At 38.6% G+C, this 24,177-nt stretch overlaps 1 protein-coding gene, 1 non-coding gene and 1 pseudogene across 3 annotated transcripts in view; all 3 read left to right on the top strand.

The window, feature by feature from the left end:
- EHHADH (enoyl-CoA hydratase and 3-hydroxyacyl CoA dehydrogenase) overlaps positions 8,208-24,177 on the top strand; it is a 63,426-nt gene continuing 47,456 nt past the window's right edge. Inside the window, exons 1-2 of one of the 2 annotated variants that reach the window (NM_001966.4) lie at positions 8,208-8,308; positions 13,740-13,843. In NM_001966.4, coding sequence (NP_001957.2) covers positions 8,235-8,308; positions 13,740-13,843 — 178 coding nt within the window. In that variant the 5' untranslated portion in view covers positions 8,208-8,234. Of the gene's footprint in view, positions 8,432-13,739; positions 13,844-24,177 lie in introns of both variants that reach the window. The other variant, NM_001166415.2, reaches the window with a different exon arrangement.
- On the top strand, positions 8,985-9,047 carry MIR5588 (microRNA 5588). Its single transcript, NR_106712.1, has one exon. It is a non-coding gene; the product is annotated as a microRNA 5588 (primary transcript).
- Positions 15,690-17,091, top strand: EIF2S2P2 (eukaryotic translation initiation factor 2 subunit 2 beta pseudogene 2; annotated as a pseudogene).

The following is a 24,177-nucleotide window of genomic DNA, read 5'->3' as shown; positions in this document are numbered from 1 at the left end:
CACCGCACCTGGCCAACCCTTCTTGTCTTATGCTAAATTTTTCCCTTACCCTATTCAGCTGAGGACAAGAGAAACTCACCCAGCCTCCAGTTCTATCATTACAGTTCATGGCTATCACTCTCGTGGAATGGGAAGCATGGGAAAGCGCAGACTTATCAAATTATAAGGATGCTAAAAGTCGGGGATTATACCCATGAACCAAAGGAAAGCTCAGAGTAGGGCATTGCCTCTGGAAGGAAAACATGCAAAGCAGCACCTGTGCCCACATAAAGTCAGAGATGTCTGACACTCAGATTGGACCCCAAAGGGGGTGCCCCGGGGGATCCTCTGGACCTCAACCTCTCCAAAGGAAACACCCTCGGCAGAGGTTCTGAGGCCTAGTACTAAGCCCTGCTTAGAATTTTCTCTGGCAGTTGCAATACTGTTTGGCCCCAATATTGTTTGGAATCTGGAGTTCGCTGTTGAATGGAAAAGTGGAATGGAGTTGCATGTATCCAGGCTTTTGGGCTGCTGTTTTAAGCAGGGTCAGGACTGGTTAGTATGTGAGGTTCTCTTTGGTGCTGTTCGGCCCCAGTGTTCTTTGGAATCTGGGGAGGTTTGGCCTTTAAATATCAAACTGCCGTGAAAACTGCTTTACCTGAAATTTTGGTTCACAGCATTGTATTACCTATTGGGGCAAACAAAGTAAAACTGGCAAGCCTATATTGCTATCTCATGGCTAGCATTCCAAGCTATCGGATCTTTGTGTGTGTGTGTGTGTGTGTATACATGTCTAGATGTGGTTATTTGTATGTACACTTATTGTTATATGATGTCTACCAAGTTGACATAAGTAAAAGAGCACTCATATATTAAGTAAATAAATCTAAGCAATTTCAAATTCATGTGACTTAAGTATAATTTACTAAACAAGTTTGTTTTAAAATTATTGATAAAATAAAAATAGGTATGCCTTCAGAACTGTCAGCATACATGTTGGTCTGGATTTTATGTTTGTCTTTGCTAGATACTTTGAGATGTCAGTGTTTGGCATAGAAGGTTATAAAACTATAACCCAGCCAAAACAAAATGATCTTGGTTTGAGTGCCTTTTTTTTTTTTTTTTTTTGACAAATGAGAGTAATTTAATATTATTTGCTAAATCTTCTGAGTTACTGGTAAAAATACCAATGTATTTAACTTTGAGGCTCTTACTTAGGTTTAGGTGAGCACCTGATGTTCACTGGCTATTGAAAACATGGTTAACAAGGAAACAACTAACTTTAAATGATAATGTCTAATACCTCAGTTTACAGAAGTAATCTAGATAAACTGTTAAAAAAGTAAAAGAATTAGCCAGGCACAGTGGCTCACACCTGTAATCCCGGCAATTTAGGAGGCCTAGGTGGGCAGATCACTTGAGGTCAGGTGTTTGAGACCAGCCATAGTGAAACCTTGTCTCTACTAAAGATACAAAAATTAGCCAGGCGCGATGGCTAGGCGCGTGTAATGCCAGCTACTCAGGAGGCTGAGGCAGGAGAATTGCTCAAACCTGGGAGGTGGAGGTAGCAGTCAGCCAAGGCCATACAACTGCACTCCAGCCTGGGCAACAGAGTGAGACGCTGTCTCAAAAAAAAAAACAAAAAACAAAAAGGGGAATGAACTGAGTGCAGTGAATGGAATAAATGTTTTAGGGAAACTTTTTATGTAAATTAAAATCTTAAAATTATTTGGGTTGTTCATTGAATATCTGGGTCATTTCCAATTAAGAAAGGTTTGTGATATGGGGAAATATGTATAATTGTATAATTGTTCTTATCTAAAAATGCCCATATCTGATAGTTCAGGATTTCTTGCTTTTTAGGATTTCATTAAAGTTTTAGGTTACTAAGGATAAGAATTCTAGTTAACACATAATTCTGTATACAAAATGTGCCTGAAAAAGTTGTGTTGTTTATGAGAAAAAGAATAATTTTGTCTAATTCAGAAGTTATCTAAAAGACAATCCTAAGCAAAAAGAACAAAGCTGGAGGCATCACGCTACCTGACTTCAAACTATACTACAAGGCTACAGTAACCAAAACAGCATGGTACTGGTACCAAAACAGATATATAGACCAATGGAACAGAACAGAGGCCTCAGAAATAACACCACACATCTGCAACCATCTGATCTTTGACAAACCTGACAAAAACAAGCAACGGGGAAAGGATCTCCTAGTAAGTAAATTATGCTGGGAAAACTGGCTAGCCATATGTAGAAAGCTGAAACTGGATCCCTTCCTTACACGGTATACAAAAATTAACTCAAGATGGATTAAAGACTTAAACGTAAGACCTAACACCATAAAAACCCTAGAAGAAAACTGAGGCAATACCATTAAGGACATAGGCATGGGCAAAGACTTCATGACTAAAACACCAAAAGCAATGGCAACAAAAGCCAAAATAGACAAATGGGATCTAATTAAACTAAAGAGCTTCTGCACAGCAAAAGAAACTATCATCAGAGTGAACAGGCAACCTACAGAATGGGAGAAAATCTTTTCAATCTACCCATCTGACAAAGGGCTAATATCCAGAATCTACAAATAAACAAATTTACAAGAAAAAAACAACCCCATCAAAAAGTGGGCAAAGGATAGGAACAGACACTTCTCAAAAGAAGACATTTATGCAGCCAACAGACATATGAAAAAATGCTCATCATTACTGGTCATCAGAGAAATGCAAATCAAAACCACGATGAGATACCATCTCACACCAGTTAGAATGGTGATCATTAAAAAGTCAGGAAACAACAGATGCTGGAGAGGATATGGAGAAATAGGAATGCTTTTACACTTTTGGTGGGAGTGTAAATTAGGTCAACCATTGTGGAAGACAGTGTGGTGATTCCTCAAGAATCTAGAACTAGATATACCATTTTACCCAGCAATCCTATTACTGTATATACCCAAATGATTATAAATTTTGCTACTATAAAGATACACGCACACGTATGTTTATTGCAGGACTATTCACAATAGCAGAGACTTGGAACCAACCCAAATGTCCATCAATGATAGACTGGATTAAGAAAATGTGGCACATATACACCATGGCATACTATGCAGCCATAAAAAAGGATGAGTTCATGTCCTTTGCAGGGACATGGATGAAGCTGGAAACAATCATTCTCAGCAAACTCTCACAAGGACAGAAAACCAAACACCTCATGTTCGCACTCATAGGTGGGAATTGAACAATGAGAACACTTGGACACAGGGCGGGGAACATCACACCCCAGGGCCTGTCAGGTGGTAGGGGGCTGGGGGAGGGATAGCGTTAGGAGAAATACCTAATGTAAATGATGAGTTGATGGGTGCAGCAAACCAACATGGCACATGTATACCTATGTATCAAACCTGCACGTTGTGCACATGTACCCTAGAACTTAAAGTATAATAATAATAAAAAAGACACATGCACACGTATGTTTATTGCAGCACTATTCACAATAGCAAAGACTTGGAACCAACCCACATGTCCATCAATGATAGACTGGATTAAGAAAATGTGGCACATATACACCATGGAATACTATGCAGCCATAAGAAAGGATGAGTTCATGTCCTTTGCAGGGACATGGATGAAGCTGGAAACCATCATTCTGAGCAAACTATCACAAGTTCTCACTCATAGGTGGGAGTTGATCAACGAGAACACATGGGCACAGGGAGGGGAACGTCACACAACAGGGCCTGTCGGTGGGTGGTGGCCTGGGGGAGGGATAGCATTAGGAGAAATACCTAATGTAAATGACGCGTTGATGGATGCAGCAAACCAACATGGCACATGTATACCTATGTAACAAACCTGCACGTTGTGCACATGTACCCTAGAACTTAAAGTATAATTAAAAAAAAAAAAGAAAAGGTTATTTATGAAACAATGTAGTAAGGAACCAGTAAGTAGGGGAGAGAAATGTGAAAAAAAAAAGTTTAGATAATAAAATATTCCTTAAAACCTGATAGAAAATTGGAGAAATTTGACTAATTAACATTTCATAGTTAGAGCTCTTAGTCTTGCCTAAAGTAAAATAAGAAATATAAGTATATTTTTTAATATACTTAAGCATGAAGCTGGTTAAGTATGGAGCTAAATTTCACATACATGCATGCATTGCTTCACACCGTTTACTGTTTTGCATGGATAGTGCTGGCACTGGAGTACTTATTGGTCATGTGCCTAGAGTGAATTTCTTGATTGTACAGGATGTATGATGATATTGGTGGACTTAAGGATATTGAATGGTGTATCAGGAATAAAATATTCATTATATGGGTGTTTGGGGGCCCTGAGTAACACTGTAGCCTCCAGGGTAGATTGAGTAGGAAAAATTTAGGGTGGGGTTCCTGTTTGTTTTTGCTTCTAATTTTCATTTGTTTGCTGTTTATTCTCCTCCAGGCTTTGCTTGTGGTCGCATAAATAGAAAACCATTTTTTTGTTTGTTGTTTTAGTTTCTAGTGGAAGGCTTTTATTTGGTTCTGTGAATAGTTATTTTATTTTCTATGCATTTCTACCAAGTCATCATTTGTTCCATTTATCTGGAATTCCTAGGCTACCTTTGTTGAGCTCACAGGAATTGGTGGAGCACACTAAGCTTTTTAACCTTAAACTAACTTTTTGGATATTAGGCTTCCTGATACTTTAAGTATATTGAGTATACTTTTGTAAATAGAACTTGAGTCATATTTCTCTCTCTCTGCCTAATTTCTTCAAAATTTGTAAATTGTTTGTGAATATTCTTAATTCATAGCAATGTGTTTGTTTGCATACAGTTGAGCAGGGTCACTAGGGCTGCTCATGGAGAGAGAACTCAAGAAAGCTGACATGCCGGCAAAAGGGTAAGAATTTCTTACCAGTTGGACTTCTGGCCCCTCTTTGTGCAAACTGGTTGAATGAATGGTAAAATATAATGAGAAGGCATGAGAATGTTAATTTTTATAAACATTTAACAAGCTTCCCAAAATCAAATTGCAGCTTCAAAATTGTCTTTTCTGACCTCAAACTTTGAGATGCTACAGCAGGCCCGTGAACCATCCAAAAGAGAGGTAAACAGGATTATTTGATATGTTTAGTTACATGGGAAGCATTGTGAAAATAAAAAATAATGTTTAATCATCTTCAGGTTATATATTAGTGAATGATATTAATATATGTTCCAGAATTGTATGGAATTTCTAAAATTCTAATATGTCTGAGTATATGCTATCAATCATAATTATTGTGTTATTGTAGACCACAGAAATAACCAAATCTCCTTGTCAATAGTGTTTTTAACTATCACTATTTAAAGTCATTTGAACTCCATGGTCTAAGTCAAATCAGCTATGAAAACCCATTAGTTATCAGTGCTATGCACCTAAATTGGAGAAACAACTGGTATTCAAGAGGACATAAGTCCAGTGTTAAGCATGGACTCATGGAAAACCAAGATGGCCACCTTGTTCTTCCTGAGTCCTTAAAGCTTTTGTTATTAAAGTTTCTGCATTCCGTGACTCATCATGGAAAAGATAAAATGATCCAGATTAAATATATACTGGTTTGCTGACTTATAAATTGCTAAAATAGTTTATAACCAATGTTTGGTTTACAATCAAAGCTTCAGGTACATTTGGCTACCTGATGGGCCATTTAAACATTTAAATTGTCATTTTATTTATTTATTTTTTTTTTTTTGAGATGGAGACTCGCCTGTTGCCAGGCTGGAGTGCAGTGGTGCAAGCTCAGCTCACTGCAACCTCCACCTCCCAGGTTCAAGTGATTCTCCTGCCTCAGCCTCCTGAGTAGCTGGGATTACAGGCATGTGCCACCACGCCGGGCTAATTTTTGTATTTTTATTAGAGACAGGGTTTCACCATGTTGATCAGGCTGGTCTCAAACTCCTGACCTTGTGATCTGCCCACAATGGCCTCCCAAAGTGCGGGGATTACAGGTGTGAGCCACTGCACCCAACCATCATCCTTCATTTACATAGGGCATACACCAGGTAACCAATGCAAACCTCTAGAGGGTATTGAAATCCCAGAAAATTCTGTAACTGGTCCCTTGAGCCACTTGCTCAGGCCTGCTCCCACCCTGTGGAGTGTGCTTTCATTTTCAATAAATCTCTGCTTTTGCTACTTCATTCTTTCCTTGCTTTGTTTTGCATTTTCAATTCTTTGGTCAAAACGCCAAGAACCTGGACACCGTCCACCCATAACAGTTTCGCTAGTTGCATGTGATTGTAAGACAAATAAAAATGATGTTGTGGGCTGGGTGCGGTGGCTCACGCCTGTAATCCCAGCACTTTGGGAGGCCGAGGCGGGTGGATCACAGGGTCAGGAGATCAAGACCATCCTGGCTAACACGGTGAAACGCCATCTCTACCAAAAATACAAAGAATTAGCCAGGCGTGGTGGCGGGCGCTTGTAGTCCCAGCTACTCGGGAGGCTGAGGCAGGAGAATGGTGTGAACCCGGGAGGCGGACTTGCAGTGAGCTGAGATCGCGCCACTGCATTCCAGCCTGGTCGACAGAGCCAGACTCCGTCTCAAAAAATAAAAATTAAAAAAAAAAAAAGATGTTGAGGCAGGAGTATAGGGCCTGAAGGCAGGGAACCTAAAGACTTTCTAGAACTAAATCAAATGGAAACACTTCAGCTATGACAGGAAATATTCTCTTCATTTACATAGGGTGTACACTGAGTAAATGACTTCGTAACTTCACTTCGTCCTCTTCATTTACATAGGGCGTACACCCAGTAACCAATGGGAAACCTCTAGAGGGTATTGAAACCCCAGAAAATTCTGTAACAAGGTCCCTTGGGCCTCTTTCTTGGGCCCACTCCCACCGTGTGGAGTGTCTTTTCGTTTTCAATAAATATTCGCTTCTGTTGCTTTGTTTTTCCCTTGCTTTGTGTGTTTCGTCCAATTCTTTGTTCAAAACGCCAAGAACCTGGACAACTTGCAGTCCAGACCCTCCTCTAGTAACAATGTTATATAAGTATTTGGTTGATGTTAGAGTAATCACTGGATGGGTTCTTCCTGCCTGCTGCACAAACAAAATCAATTCAGGAAGACCACAGCATTGCAGTAAGGAAAGAGTTTAATTGATGTGAGGCTGGCCACGCCACATGGGACATGGAGTTATTACTCAAATCAATCTCATCGAAGGCTAGTAGGTTAGGGGTTTTTCAAAGGTGGTTTGGTGGGCAGGGGCTAGGGTATGGAAAATGCTGACTGGTTGGGTTGGAGATGAAATCATAGGGGTTGAAGCTATCCTCTTGTACTGAGTTGCTTGTGGGTGGGGCCACAGGAGCTGTTGACTGGTCCAGGTGGAGCCATCAGTGTCAGGCAAACGTGAAAAAATATCTCAAAAGGCCAAACTTAGGTTCTACAATAGTAATGTTACCTGCAGGAGTAAATGGGGAAGTTGTCTATCTGGTGGCTTCCGGAATAATGGCTGGCAATGGTCTATGTTTACACCTTAGCAGAGAGAATTCACACTCCTCTGTCCTCCTAGCCTGGTGGTCTCTCGGTTAGCTTTACAAAGGCAGTTGAGTTTTGGGGAAGGGCTATTATCATTTAAACTATAAACCAAATGTCTCCCAAAGTTAACTTGGCCTAAGCTCAGGAATAATTAAGGGCAGCTAAAGGCAAGATGGGGTTGGTTAAATCAGATCTCTTTGACTGCCATAATTTTCTCACTGTTAGAATTTTTGCAAAGGCTGTTTCATTAGTACCCTACTCATTTAGGTGAAATGAACAATGTGTATTTTATGTGTTCCAGATGTGTATCAATATCACATAACTGTCAGGGAGGGCCCCAGGTATCTGTCCCTGTTCAGAAAGATCATGAAGATGAATACCGCGATGAGGACAGCTTGCCCGTCTCAGCGAACTCAGAACTTGTCCTCAGTAGCCAGCCCCTATGGGCCAAGGGGTTACAAACTTCGACTTGCCGGCAATTACAGCTGTTTTCCATCATTCTCCTTGCTGTACCTTCTGGTGGGAGCAGCATGGGAGTTAATAAAGGGAAAGCGACAAGCGTCTGTAGAGCGCCGGGTGGGGTCTCGGGAGAGGAGGGCTGGGTGGGAAGAGGCGCGGCGGGAGGCGGCGCCCCGGCTCGCATTGGCCCAGCCGGCGTCCCTCCTCTGGAGGAGGCCGGGCGCGCCCGGAAAAGTGGTTTGCCTGACGGCGAGAGGCAGAGGTGCCCTCGGTGATAGAGGAAACATGGCCGAGTATACGCGGCTGCACAACGCCTTGGCGCTAATCCGCCTCCGAAACCCGCCGGTCAACGCGATCAGGTAACGGGCTCGGTCGCCTCCAGCCCGGGGACCGTGCGGGCCTTAGCCGCCCTCTGGCTCCGGAGGCTTTGACTCTCCCCCGTCGGTTTAAACCGAGAAGGACACTCAAGAGTTGAGCAACTGGTACATGCCAGGAACTTTTTTTTTCTTTTCTTTCTTTCTTTTTCTTTTCTTTTTTTTTTTTTTTAACCTAGATTAGCTTGGTTAATCTTCGCAGGGAACTCTCGTCCCCGTTTTACTGATAAGGAAACTGAGGCTGAGGCTGAGACAGATCAACACTTAGGGAGTTGGCCTCGACCTGTCCTTCATGCGGAGCCCTCCTGCTTACTTGCAACTTTGGCTTTGCAGGCCGACTTTTTATTTTTCTTTTTTTTTTTTAATTATACTTTAAGTTTTAGGGTACATGTGCACAACGTGCAGGTTAGTTACATATGTATACATGTGCCATGTTGGTGTGCTGCACCCATTAACTCGTCATTTAATATTAGGTATATCTCCTAATGCTATCCCTCCCCCCTCCCCCCACCCCACAACAGGTCCCAGTGTGCAGGCCGACTTTCTAATCCAAAGGTCTTAACTTAGTTTGATGTTGGACTTTGATCCAGCCTCACTCCCCTTCTTTGAGTCCAGGCTGTCCTTACAATGTTTGGCTAAAGGCTTTAGGAATAGGGCAATCACTGGCATTAGTGGGACTTTTTTTTTTTTTTTTTTTAATGTTAAAAGTCCCACTAATGCCAGCTCAGTGATTAAAGCAGAATTTTGCCCTGGCCCGGAAACGCAAAATTATTTCTCCTGATTTGTTTAAACCTCAGGACTTTGGTGCTTCCAAGGAAGACTCACATCAGACTAAGCCTATGCAATAGCATTTTCTGAAAAATTGCACCTTATCTTCTTTTTCTCACTGGGGAGTATTTGCCTTGTGTGGTGCACTTTAAACATTAAAAAGTGAGATCAATGTTGCCTTTTTGAAAAGTAATGATTATTTGGTTTGGTCCTTCTACATCTCTTAAAAAAATAATTATATGTCAGCCTTGAAAAAGAATTACCTATCCACAGGGAATAAGATTAGTGGAAATTATAATTTATCAAGAATATATAAAGCATAGAGAGAAAGGTCTTTGGTCAAAATTCTTATAACATGCTGCTGAAGCAAAGAGACTGAAATGAGAAGACCTGCTAATTTTAATAGAATTTAAAAATCCTACTGTCATTGGATTTGATTTATCATTAGTATTAATATTAATTCATTATGAATTATTGCATTTAATAATGTCAAAAAATGCAGGACTAAAATCACATAAGGATGACATGTCTACTAACTTGCCATTCCCAGAATAAAAAGCAAAATATCTGTTATATTGGTTTTGACAAAGAAAAATGTAAGTAATATGATTACATGTCAATTTTGGACTGGTCTATATACTGATTAGAATTGCTAGATATTAGGACCTTAGGGGGAAAAGTTCCATACTCTAATACCCATGACTAGGAATATTTTCTGACAACTGTTTTTTTTTTTTCTTTTTTTTTTAAGCTCATTTGCTTGTTTTGAGACGGAGTCTTGCTCTGTCGCCAGGCTGGAGTGCAGTGGCGTGATCTCAGCTCACTGCAACCTCTGCCTCCCGGGTTCAAGTGATTCCCCTGCCTCAGCCTCCCGAGTAGCTGGGACTACAGGTGCGTGCCACCACGCCCAGCTAATTTTTTGTATTTTAGTAGAGACGGGGTTTCACCATGTTGGCCAGGATGGTCTCAATCTCCTGACCTCGTGATCCACCTGCCTCGGCCTCCCAAAGTGCTGGGATTACAGGCATGAGCCACGTGCCCAGCCTCTGACAATTGCTTTTAATATTTCTGGAATTTAACCTGCTCTCCTTGCCCACCCATGCAACCACCTGTGCCACCCCCATCCTCTTTGCAGGAGAAATGTTAGGGCCTACCTCATAAAGTTGTGAAGTTTAAATCAGCTGGAAATTATGAAGTGGCATTTAATAGATGTTAGTTATTCCTATTAGTCAGAAGACCTGTTCAAGCCCCAAAAACAGGCCCTGCTACTCAGGACCCACTTCAGTTTCATCAAGAAGATATTCTCCACTTGGGAATAAGTACTTCTCTGCCCTTTTTTGTCTGTCTTCTGAACTTTTTTAGGTAGAAATGGACATCCTAGGAGTTCCTCAAGTTTAACAGATTCCTCAATTTTTTTCTTACACTTTTTCTTTCCTCCCTTTCTTCCTTTTCCCCTTCCTATTTCTAATTTTATATGGGAAGTCGTCTCCTCCTAGCTGATTGAGAGATTCTTACTTGAGTGTAATACACACACACACACACACACACACACACACATATAAATTTTTTCCCCAAAACAAATAGTTTAAATCCTTCATTGCTAGTTTAGCCAGCCATGTTTGCTTCCATTCAGATAAACACCAGCCCTCTTTATAAGTATAGGACATGCCTGATTAATAGGCCTGTCTCCCAGAACAATGGCTTTCACACGATTGCTTTACTGTAATCCACAGAGTAAGAAAGCTCACGTTTTTACGTAGCAATTCAAGACACACTTACATACAAACACGTAACCGAAAGCAGTTTCCTAAAACAAAACCTATCCTTACTTGGTATATTGTTTGATATAGTCTATTTTCTCATCTCTTCTTTTTCTTTGAAAAAATCCTGGTCACAAGCCACAAACTTGATTTGATGACTTTTGGTTTAAAAAAAAAAACTGTCTAAAAAAAAAAGGAAAGACCTTCTATAGTCAAAGAAGCTGAAGAGTTTTGGTCAGTAGTCATGAAATGCTGTCTCTACTCCAGACTCTATTTCTTCATGCCTGACAGTATTAACAGGAGAAAATAATTTCATAACTTCTGCGGCCTTTACATTGCTATGACTCTCTCTGTCAGCTTGAATCTAGTAAAGTGCGTATCTGTTATAGCTATTTTCATTTTTTTCCTGTTTTTGATATTTGCAAAATTATGAACATAAAAAAGGAAGATAGGTTGAAATGGGAAAAGCTGGTTTCTTCTCCTCAGTGGCACTGATTGAGCTAATTTTGGCTAGTTTTGTAAGCATTGTTTATTCAGAAGGAAATGTGTGCCTTTTGGACTTTTTGATGTTATATAATGGTTCTGAATTTGCTTTTCATGGTCAGATTTGGCTTCTAATTAACCAGCTGAAGCCAAGAGGTTTTGTCTGATTTCATCTAGGTTAAGAGGTGAAAAGTAATTAGGTGTAAGGGAATCATTATAAATAAGGGCAAGTATCCTTTTTATTTCTTGGGGTTTTAACTAATAGTTGTTGGTCTTAACAATATGGCCTTTACAGAAGTTTGTTGTTGTTTGTTTTGTTTTAAAATTTATTTTTAACCCTGTGTACTAAAGAACAGAGATTTTACTCAGAATACTTGGAATTCCAAGGCAAAACTGATTGGAATCTGGTTCTGTGGTTTTTCCTTTTAAGCAGTTCCTCACCACTTGCCCTAGATTCTCTTATTGCTTGGTACTTATTAATCCCCTCCTTCTTCACAAATTTTCTCTCTTGGTCTTTGTGACTTTGAGCTCACTTGCTGAATCACTCTGCTGAGCTTGTCCCACTTCTTAAATGAAGATATATCCAGAGGATCTGCCCTCAGCTCTCTTTTCCTTTGGTAGACTCATTCAGTCTTGGTTTTAGCTATCTCTTCTGCAGATGACTTCCTCATATATTAAAACTTGGCAAAATCTGCTACATGCCCTATCTTTCCACTATCTTGCCTTTATATCTTATCTTAGTTAAGATTACGCTTGGCTGTCACTGACAGAATAGTGAAGATAATAGTGAATTAGACAATAAAAAGCTAATTTCTCTCACAGCAGTGCCCTGGAATGATACAGCTGCTCCACAATCAACAGGGGCCTCAATTATTTTCTCTGTCTATCTCTTGCTCTACCATCCTCAATACATAGCTTCTACCTCCTGATCCAAGGTGGCTGCTCCTGATCTAACCATCACTGGTGCCAGGAATAGGGAGGAAAGAAAAAGGGAAAAGCATACCCAAATCTTTAAGAACTCTTCCCCAAAGTTGCATATACCAAATATGCTTCCATCCCATTGGCTAGAACTTAGTTCCTTGTGCAGACCTTACTGTAAAGCAGGCTGGAAAATATAGTCTTTATTTTGGGCAACCATATTTTTGTGTTAGTCCATTTTCACACTGCTATAAAGACATATCCGAGACTGGGTAATTTATAAAGGAAGGAGGCTTAATTGATCACAGTTCCACATGGCTGGGGAAGCCTGGGGAAACTTACAATCATGGTGGAAGGCAAAGGAGAAGCAAGTACCTTCTTCACAAGGTGGCAGGAGAGAGGCATGAGTGCAGGGGAAACTGCAACTTATAAACCACTAGATCTCCTGAGAATTCCCTCACAGAACAGCAGCAGGGGGAAACCACTGGCATGATCCAATCAACTCCCGCTAGGTCCCTCCCTGACGTGGGGATCACAGTTTGAAATGAAGTTTTGGTGGGGATAAAGAGCCAAACCAGGCTGGGCGCGGTGGCTCACACCTGTAATCCCAGCACTTTGGGAGGCCGAGGTGGGTGGATCACGAGCTCAAGAGATCGAGAACATCCTGGTTAACACGGTGAAACCCCGTCTCTACTAAAAATACAAAAAATTAGCCGGACGTGGTGGCGGGCGCCTGTAGTCCCAGCTACTCAGGAGGCTGAGTCAGGAGAATGGCGTGAACCCGGGAGGCAGAGCTTGCAGTGAGCCCAGATCGCGCCACTGCACTCCAGCCTGGGTGACAGAGCAAGACTCCATTTCAAAAAAAAAAGAGCCAAACCATATCACATATATTCAAGTAAAAACCAAGTGTTTTAATACTATGAAGACGATGGAGAGGAATGGATATTTGAGGTAACTCACAGCCCCCGCCACAGCTCCTAGACTGTTTCTCATTTAATTTTCTTATATTTTAACAATATGAAAAACTGAAAGTAATTTCACCCTTCTCTGAACTTCAACATCACTTTTTCTTTGTACCTTTATTACAGCACTCAGATATCTTAGTGTGCCTTACATGATAAATTATGTACAAGTATTGGATAACTCCTTGTACAATATATAGAAGACATGTAATAATATTTTTAAATTGGTTGGTGTCAATTTTAAGCGGTCAAAGTGAAAGCACAGTGCAGGAAAATTACATTTTTAAAAAGTGGATTAATTTAATCTGGTCAGTGCTTAATTAATCATAGGCATATATATTATTTGTAGAAGAAATTTAATAGTCATAGTAGACATATTATTTGTTGGAAGCTTTATTGAGAAGTATCTACAGTTTTTATCCATTATGTGTGTGTTTAATTTTTCATTTTTAGGAAAGGAAAACACTCTGAATGGTAGGAATTTAATTCTGACTGATTTACTTCATGTATTTTGTTTTCTTTTAGTACGACTTTACTCCGTGACATAAAAGAAGGACTACAGAAAGCTGTAATAGACCATACAATAAAAGCCATTGTGATTTGTGGAGCAGAGGGCAAATTTTCTGCAGGTAACTCAAGTCTAACCCTCTCCCACCATCTCTGGAATCCAGCCACAGACTGAGACCAATACTGCATTAGCTGTGCTTGTTGGTAATAACTTAGTGTAGGTAATGGATATGGCAGACTTGAGTGAGAATGAGTAACACTGTGGAGAAAGGGACAGGAATTACAAGAGAGACCCAGAGAAGGGCTTAGTCTCTTTTATTGTGGATTGGGCTTTTAGAGTATATTTAGTTCCAGACTTGATGGCTGTTATACACCTGCTGATATATACCTGCATTGCATGTATCTCCACCATATGTGGGCTTGGGCAAATCTCTTTAACTTCCTGAACCTCAATTTCTCTATCTATAAAGTGGGAACAATAATATCTATTTTAAGGGGTTTTTGTGACATTAAGCGAGATAACATATCTGAAAGCCTCTACTACAGTACCTACACAAAGAAGATGGTCAATAAATGTTATTGTTTAATTCACACAGAGTCTTATAATAGAATTCATTTTTCTTCCGATAGTCACCCATCTCAGTGACCATGGCACTGCTTTATTGGGTTATTGTGTGAAGATGCAAAATTATTGACAAAATATGGCAAAAGTATGCTGAAATGGTGATTTATTCAATGGCATATATGGCGTCTTTTCCTTAATATTCATACATTATACCCTTTGACAAAAGTCACATGGATATGGGGGCCTATTCAACCTTACTGTAGCCAGAGAAATTTAATATGTGTTAATGGTAGTCTGAAAAGACACAGATGTTAGAATCATGGCAATAAATAAATATAAAAATGTGAATCATTATAATATTACCATTTATCTTGCCTGTTATATGCCAGTACCATGTAGGTTATTTATTAAATAATAATAATAAAAATAATAGTATTTTTAAACATGTTATATGTTAATTCTCAGTTAGTCCTACAATCCTCATTTACAGGTAAGAAGAGATTTTGAGCCTGGGAGAGATTAATATAATGTCCCAAACCTTAACCAGTTATTAAATGGCTTACTCACTGTTTGGAAATTTAAGGTTTGTCACCCAAGATGATGACGATGATGCATGGGAAGAGTGCTCAGAATGATAAAGAACTTGATATTTCTTTGTAAGAAAGAAGGTAGATGAGAGAATGTAATTAGAGTTTGGAGGCAGAAAAAATTATTCTTCTAAAAAAGTATTAGGGATTATGAAACTTGACTTAATACATTTACATAGAACAATGCACCCCAAAATGGGAGAATATACATTCTTCTGAAATACATCTGGAACATTTACAAAAATTGACCAGATACTGAATTATAAAATCTTATCTAAATAAATTTCATTAAGAATACATTATCTGACAACAATGCAATTAAGCTAGAAATCAATAACAAAAATATAACTAGTAATTCTCATATGTTTGGAAGTTAATTTCCAATATCCTCTGAGTAAAAACAGAAATAATGGAATTTAGAAAAAATTTGGAACTGAATGGCAATGAAAACATAATATAAAACTTGAGGGATGCAGCTAAAGTAAAACTTATCAGAAAATTTATAGCTTTAAAAATATATATTAGAAAAGAAAAATGGCTGAAATATAATGAGTTAAGTATTTATGTAAAGGAACTGACAAACTAACCGTAAAATACACCCTAATCAAGTAGAAGAAAGGAAATAATAAAGAGGAGAAATTAATGAAATAGAAAACATTTGAATCAAGAGGAACAACAATGTTAGTTTTTTGAGACTAATACAATTGACAAACTCTGGAGAGATTGAAGGAGAAGAGAAGGCACCAAGCAATGCATATAAAGAATGATGAAAGGGATATCATTGCAGATACTGTAGCCTTTAAGAAAGATAATGGCCCTTTGGCTGATGCAAGAGCCTAGTGCGGTGGTGGGAGAGGTATCAGCAGGAGCAGCGCTGCCACGGGGCCTGGGGGCTGACCTGTCTGACTTCCCATCCATGCGGAGCCCACTGGAATCGCATCCATATCTGGAGATGAGATGATTTTTGATCCTACTGTGAGCAAGAAGAAAAGAAGAAGAAGAAGCCTTTTATGTTAGATGAGGAAGGGGATACTCAAACAGGAAACGCAGCCCTCAGAAACAAAAGTCTGGAGCCAGAGCCAACTGAGGACAAAGATTTGGAAGCTGACAATGAGGACAGTAGGAAAAACGATGCTTCTGATGATCTAGATGACTTGAACTTCTTTAATCAAAAGAAAAAGAAAAAAAAACAAAAAAGATATTTGATATTGATGAAGCTGAAGAAGTTGTAAAGGATCTTAAGATTGAAAGTGATGTTCAAGAACCAGCTGAACCAGAGGATGACCTTGACATTATGCTTGGAATAAAAAGAAGAAAAAGAAGAATGTCAAGTTCCCAGATGAGGATGAACTACTAGAGAAAGATGAAGCTCTAGAAGATGAAGATAGCAAAAAAGATGATGGTATCTCATTCAGTAATCAGACAGGCCCTGCTTGGGCAGGCTCAGAAGGAGACTACACATAAGAGGAGCTGCTGAATTGTGTGTTCAACATCATGAGGGAAAAGAATCCAGATATGGTTGCTGGGGAGAAAAAGAAATTCGTTATGCAACCTCCACAGGTCGTCTGAGTAGGAACCAAGAAAACTTCTTCTGTCAACTTTACAGATATCTGTAAACTATTATATTGTCAGCACACTTGCATTTTTGTTGGTTGAATTGGGTACAAGTGGTTCTATAGATGGTAATAACCAACTTGTAAAGGAAGATTCCAACAAAAACAGATAGAAAATGTCTTAAGATTTATCAAGGAGTATGTCACTTGTCACACATGCTGATCACTGGACACAATCCTGCAGAAGGACATGCAACTCTTATTTCCTACAGTGTGAAACTTGTCATTCTAGATGTTCTGTTGCCAGTATCAAAACTGGCTTCCAGACTGTCATGGGCAAGCGAGCACAGCCCTGTGCCAAAGCTAACTAATTTGCTAATCACTGATTTTTCAAAGCGTGTTGTGGATATGTGGCTAAACCAGTTTGCCATCAGAGTGGATATACCATTGTATTAAAAGCAAGATAAAAAAGCTGCCAAGTTCTTTGGCTAGTGGCTGGTTGGTGTGAAATCCTTGCAAGATGCTGATGCTCAAGCTGTTGACATATGTATAGACTACTTTAACAACTGTCAGAGAAACATGATATGGGGTAAAGAGGTGCTTTTTTAAAATCGTTCATAGACTTCTGTAAAATACAAGATAAATTAAAGTTATTGTAACAGTGAAAAAAGAAAGATAATGAAAATATTATGAACATGTAAAAAAAATAGCTTCTCAAAATTAACTCAAGAAGAAATAGAAAACCCAAATAGTTCTGTAATCATTAAAGAAATTCAATCAGTAATCAGAAATCTCACCAAGTAAATACTTGACCCTGAAGACTCCACTGGCAAGGTCTACTGTAAAGTCAAGGAAAATATTCCAATTTTACATAAACATTTCAGAGAATCAAAAAAGTGGGGCCACTTTCTCTATTAGTTTCTTAGAGCACCATAACAAATTGCCACAAACCAAGTGGCTTAAAACAACAGAAATCTATTCTCTCATTGCTCTGGAGGATAGAAGTTTGTAATCAAGATATCAGCAGGGTCATTCTTCTTCTGTTTTCTTTAGGGAAGAATCCTTCCTTGCCTCTTCTAGCTTCTTATGGTTTCTAGCAATCCTTGGCCTATGGATGCATCACTCCAGTCTCACTTTAATCACATGGCTTTCTTTCCTCCATGTCTAAATTTTCCTGATCTTCTATAGGCCCACCCTAACTCAGCATGACCTCATCTTAATTTGATAACATCTGCGAAGACCTTCTTTCCAAATGTCACACTCACAGCTTCTGGGTAAACACTATTCAACTCAGTACACTTCCCAACTCATTTTTTGAGGCAGCATACCCTTGATACTAACACCTGACAAGGACAGTATGGAAAAGAAAAATTACAGGCTAATTTCATTTATAAATGTAGATATAAAAATCGTAGTGTAAATTGAGACAACAAAGCAACTAGGTAACAATATTATGACGGAAACAAACCCTCATATATCAATATTAACCCTGAACATAAATGGCCTAAATCCTCCACTTAAACATATAGACAGGCAAATTGGATTAAAAAACAAAACCTGATCGTTTTCTGCCCACAAGTGACACCCTTTGGTAAAAACACCCACAAACTCAATGGAGTGGAAAAAGATACACTGTGCAAACACAAAACAAAAATGAGCAGTAGTAGCTATATTTACATCAGATAAAGCAGATTTTAAATCAACAACAGTAAAAAGACAAAGAATGTATTATATAATAATAAAGGGTTCAATACAAGGAGAAGATATAGCTGTCTTAAATATATATGCATCCCAAAATGGACAACTCAGATTTATAAAACAAATACTACTCAACCTAATAAAAGAGATAGACAGCTATACAATAATAAGGGAGGACTTCAAAACCCCGCTGACAGCACTAGACAGATGATTAAGGCAGAAAATCAACAAAGAAACTATGGACTTAAACTAGACTTTAGACCAAATGGACCTAATAGACACACTTATAGAACATTCTATGCAATAACCGCAAAATACACATTTTTCTATTTGTGCATGGGACATTCTGTGCATGGAACGTTCTCCAAAATAAATCATATGCTTGGCCATAAATCAAATCTCAACAAATTCAAAAAAATCTAAATCATATCAAGTATCGTTTCATATTATAGTGGAATAAAAGTAGAAATCAGTAGCAAGAGGAACTCTCAAAACTCTACAAATACATGGGAACTAAACAACTTGCTCCTGAATGTTCATTAGGTAAATGAGGAAATCAAGGCAGAAATTTTTTTAAAATATAGAAAGATCTTAAAGTCACAACCTAATGTTGCACCTCAAGGAACTAGAAAAACAAGAAAAAAACCAAACCCAGAGCTAGCAGAAGAAAAGAAATAACAAAGATCTGAGCAGAACTAAATGAGATTAAGACAAAAAAATAATAATGAGGATTAAGGATCATCATGGTGGACGGGACACAGACTAGATTGCAGCTCTGACTTGGATGGACAGAGCAGCATGCAGAGGCTCATGTCGTGAATTTTAGCTCCAGAATGACTACTGGAATAAATCAGGAATCCCAAGAGGACCCACAGACCCTCTGAAGGAAGCAGACTGCTCCTGCAGGACACAGGAGACATCCCAAATACTGTGAGTGCCCAAACTGCGGAAATGGGAGAGGGAGATCCTCCATTCTGGAACACACACCCCCACTGGGGAAACTGGAGGTCTAGTTTGTGGGAGAAGATTCTGACCTTACCTGGAGATGAGTCAATTTAGAGAGCCATGTGAAATACATGGGTGGAGGAAGCAGCAGGAAAGGCCCTGGGAGCTTGCTGGGTCCCCAGGCAGGCCATTCCTGCCTAGCATCACAGAGATCCTTCGAGAGGGTGGCCAGAGGCATGGGGAAAACACCACAGGGAGACGAAAGTCTGCAGCTGAACTTTGTAACAATTTGAACCAGTCTAGAAGCCTCCTGGCCAGAACTCGGGGGAGGGTGGGAATCTGGAGTGCAGACTTCACAGGCAGGGGAAGAACTAAAGCCCTTATGCAGCTGGGAGGTGGGTAGCCTGGGGCAAGTTCTTAGCCCTGCTTGCCCACTGCCTGGAAACAGACTCAGTGCTGTTAGATGGGGAGTGAGACCAGCCCTTTGGATTGTGTGGGAGCTGGGTGAGGCCTGAGTCTGCCAGCTTTCCCCCACTTTCCTTACAACCTGCATGACTCGGCAGAGGCAGCCATAATCCTTTTAGGTACATGACTCCAGTGAAAGTTGAAAAGAGTGTCCTTTCCCCACTTTGTTTTTGTTTGCTTTGTCAAAGATCAGTTGGCTGTAGGTATTTGGGTTTATTTTTTGGGTTCTCTCTTCTGTTCCATTGGTCTATGTGCCTATTTTTATACTAGTACCATGCTGTTTTGGTGACTATGGCCTTATAGTATAGTTTGAAATCAGGTAGTGTGATGCCTCCAGATTTGTTCTTTTTGCTTAGTCTTGCTTTGGCTATGCAGGCTCTTTTTTTGGTTCCATATGAATTTTAGAATTCTTTTTCTAATTCTGTGAAGAATAATGGTGGTATTTTGATGGGGGTTGCATTGAATTTGTAGATTGCTTTTGGCAGCGTGGTCATTTTCACAATATTGATTCTACCCATCCATGAGCATGGGATGTGTTTCCATTTGTTAACATCATCTAAGGTTTCTTTCAGCAGTGTTTTGTTGTTTTCCTTGTAGAGATCTTTTGCTTCCTAAATAGTTTATTTTATTTTTTTGCAGCTATTTTAAAAGGGGATGAGTTATTGATTTGATTCTCTGCTTGGACACAGCTGGGATAATTGGTTAGCCACATGTAGGAGAATGAAATTGGATCCTCATCTCTCACTTTATACAAAAATAACTCAAGATGGATCAAGGACTTAAATATAAAACCTGAAACTATAAAAATTCTAGAAGACAACATTGGAAAAACCCTTCTAGACATTGGCTTAGGCAAGCATTTCATGACCAAGAACCCAAAAGCAAATGCAATAAAAACAAAGATAAATAGTTGGGAGTTAATTAAACTAAAGAGCTTTTGCACAGCAAAAGGAACAGTCAGCAGAGTAAACAGACAACCCACAGAGTGGGGGAAAATCTTCACCATCTATACATCTAACAAAGGACTAATACCCAGACTCTACAACAAACTCAAACATATCAACAAGAAAAAAAAATCCCATTAAAAAGTGGGCTAAGGACATGAATAGACAATTCTCAAAAGAATATACACAATTGGCCAACAAGCATATGAAAAAATGCTCAACATCACTAATGATCAGGGAAATGCAAATCAAAACCACAATGCGATACCACCTTACTCCCGCAAGAATGGTCATAATCAAAAAATCAAAAAACAGTAGATGTTGATGTGGATGCGATGAAAAGGAAACACTTGTACATTGCTGGTGGGAATGTAAACTAGTACAACTACTATGGAAAACAGTGTGGAGATTCCTTAAAGAGCTAAAAGTAGAACTACCATTTGATCCAGCAATCCTACTACTTGGTATCTATGCAGAGGAAAAAAGTCATACGAAAAAGATACTTGCACACACATTTACAGCAACACAATTTGCAGTTGCAAAATTGTGGAACCAACCCAAATGCCCATCAATCAACGAGTGGATAAACAAACTGTGGTATTTTTATACGATGGAATACTACTCAGCCATAAAAAGGAATGAATTAACAGCATTCGCAGCAATCTGGATGAGATTGGAGACTATTATTCTAAGTAAAGTAACTCAGGAATGGAAAACCAAATATTGTACGTTCTCACTGATATGTGGGAGCTAAGCTATGAGGATGCAAAGGCATAAGAATGATACAATGGACTTTGGGGATTTGGGGGGGAAGGGTGGGAGTGGGGCAAGGGATAAAAGACTACAAATACAGTGCAGTATATACTGCTTGGGTGATGGGTGCACCAAAATCTCACAGATCACCACTAAAGAAGTTACTTATGTAACCAAACACCACCTGTACCCCAATAACCTATGGAAAAATAAAAATAAAAACAGAAAAAAGAAATATACTTATGAAAATATTACAAATATAAGTTCGTAATATAGTATAAGAAGATACAAAGGATAAATGAGATGAAAAGTTGGTTCTTTGAAAAGAGAAAAATTTATATACTGCTAGCTAAACTAATCAAAAAGAGAGAAGTTTCAAATAAACACAATTAGAAATTATAAAGGTGACAGTACAGCTGATTCCACAAAAAGACAAAAGATGCTCAGAGACTACTGTGCACATCTCTACATGCATAAACTAGAATACCTAAAAAAAAAAATGGATAAATTCCTGTAAACATACAACCTCCCAAGACTGAATCAGGAAGAAATAGAAATCCTGAACAGACCAATACTGAGTTATGAGATTGAATCAGTAATAAAAAATTTTTTGACCAAAAAAAACCCAAGACCAGATAGATTCACAGCCAAATTTTACCAGATGTGCAAAGAAGAGCTGGTACCAATCTTCCTGAAACTATTCTGAAAAATCAAGGAGGAAAGATTCCTCCCTAAATCATTCTATGAAAGCAGTACCACCTTGATACCAAAATCAGGCAAGGACACAAGAAAAAAAAAAAACAAAAACTAAAGGCCAATATAACTGATGAACATAAATGCTAAAATCATCAGCAAAATACTGTCAAACTAAATCCAATAGCACTTCAAAAAGATATTACATCAATATTAGATGGGCTTTATTGCAGGGTTTCTAGGATGCTTCAGTAACTGTGATTCACCAGATAAACAGAATTAAAAAACAAAATCCATGATCACCTCAATAGATGCAGAAAAAGCATTTGGTAAAATCCAACATCCCTTCATGATAAAACCCCTCAACAAACTAGACATCAAAAAATACCTCAAAATAATAAAAGCTATATACAACAAAACCACAGCCAACATCATACTGAATGAGGAACAGGTGAAAACATTACTCCTGAAAACTGGAACAAGACAAGGATGCCCACTCTCACCACTCCTAGTCAACATAGTACTGGAAGTCCTAGCCAGAGCAATCAGGCAACAGAAAGAAATAAAAGGCATCCAAATTGGAAAAGAGGAAGTCAGATTTCCTGTGTTCATTGATAACATGGTCTTATACTTAGAAAATCCTAACGACTCTTCCAAAAGACTCTTACACTTGATAAATGACTTCAGTAAGTTTCAGGATACAAAATGAATGTACAAAAATCAGTAGCATTCTATACACCAATAACGTTCAAGCTGAGAACCAAATCAAAAACTCAGTCCCATTTACAATAGCCACAAAAAAATAAAATACCTAGGAATACATTTAACCAATGAGGTGAAAGATCTCTACAAGGGGTACTACAAAACACTGATGAAATAAATGATAGATGACACAGACAAATGGAAAAACATCCATGCTCATGCATTGAAAGAATCAATATTGTTAAAATGGACATACTGCCCAAAACAATATACAGATTCAATGCAATTCCTATCAAATTACCAATGTCATTTTTCATGGAATTAGAAAAAACAATCCTAAAATTAATATGGAAACAAAAAAGAGCTCAAATAGCCAAAGCAATCCTAAGAAAAAGAACAAAGCTGGGGGCAACACATTACCTGACTTCATATTATATTATAAGGCTATGGTAACCAAACCAGCATGGTACTGATACAAAAATAGACACATAGACCAGTGGAACAGAATAGAGAACCCAGAAATAAAACCGCATACCTACACCAACTGATCTTCAATAAAGTCAACAAAAATATGCAATGGGAAAGGATATGCTGTTCAATAAATGGTGCTGGGAAAATTGGAGAGCCATATGCAGAAGAATGAAGCTGGACCCCTATCTTTCACCATATACAAAAATTAATTGAGGATGGATTAAAGACTTATGTGTAAGATCTAAAATCATAAAAATTCCTGGATGAATATTTAGGAAATCTCTTTTGGACGTTGGCCTAGGCAAATAACTTTTGACTAAGACCTCAAATGCAACAAAAACAAAAATAGATGAATGGGACTTAATTAAGAGCTTCTGCACAGCAAAAGAAATAATCAGCAGAGTAAACAGACAACCTACAGAATGGGAGAAAATATTTGCAAACTGTGCATCCGACAAAGGACTAATATCTGGAATCTATAAGGAACTCAAACAACTCAACAAGGAAAAACCAATTAACTCCATTAAAAAGTGGACATTGTCTTTTGGTTATATATACTTAAAAATTTTTTTTGAAGTACACATAGGACATATACATTTGCCAAAAGGAGACATACAAGTGGCCAATAAACATATGAAAAAATTCTCAACATCACTAATCATCAGAGAAATGTAAATCAAAACTGCAATGAGATATCTCACACCACTTAGAGTGACTATTATTAAAAAGTAAAACAACAATATGTTGGCAAGGATGCAGAGAAAAGGGAATGCTTATACACTGTTATTTGGAATGGAAATTAGTACAACCTTTATGGAAAAACAGTATGGAGATTTCTCAAAGAATTAAAAACAGAGCTATCATTTGACCCAGCAATCCAACTACTGGGGATCCGTCCAAAGGAAAATATATTATTATATCAAAAGATACCTGTACTCATATGTTTATCACAGCACTGTTAATGATAGCAAAGTCATGGAATCAACCTAAGGGTCTATCAATGGTTGATTAGATAAAGAAAACCATAGTATACTACACAACCATAAAAAAGAATGAAATTACGTCTTTCCTTAGGCCATT

This window comes from Homo sapiens, chromosome 3, assembly GCF_000001405.40.
Source record: "Homo sapiens chromosome 3, GRCh38.p14 Primary Assembly".
Classification (NCBI taxonomy): Eukaryota; Metazoa; Chordata; class Mammalia; order Primates; family Hominidae; genus Homo; species Homo sapiens.
Note: the sequence above shows the minus strand (reverse complement) of the source record. Positions and strands in the feature narration are given on the sequence as shown.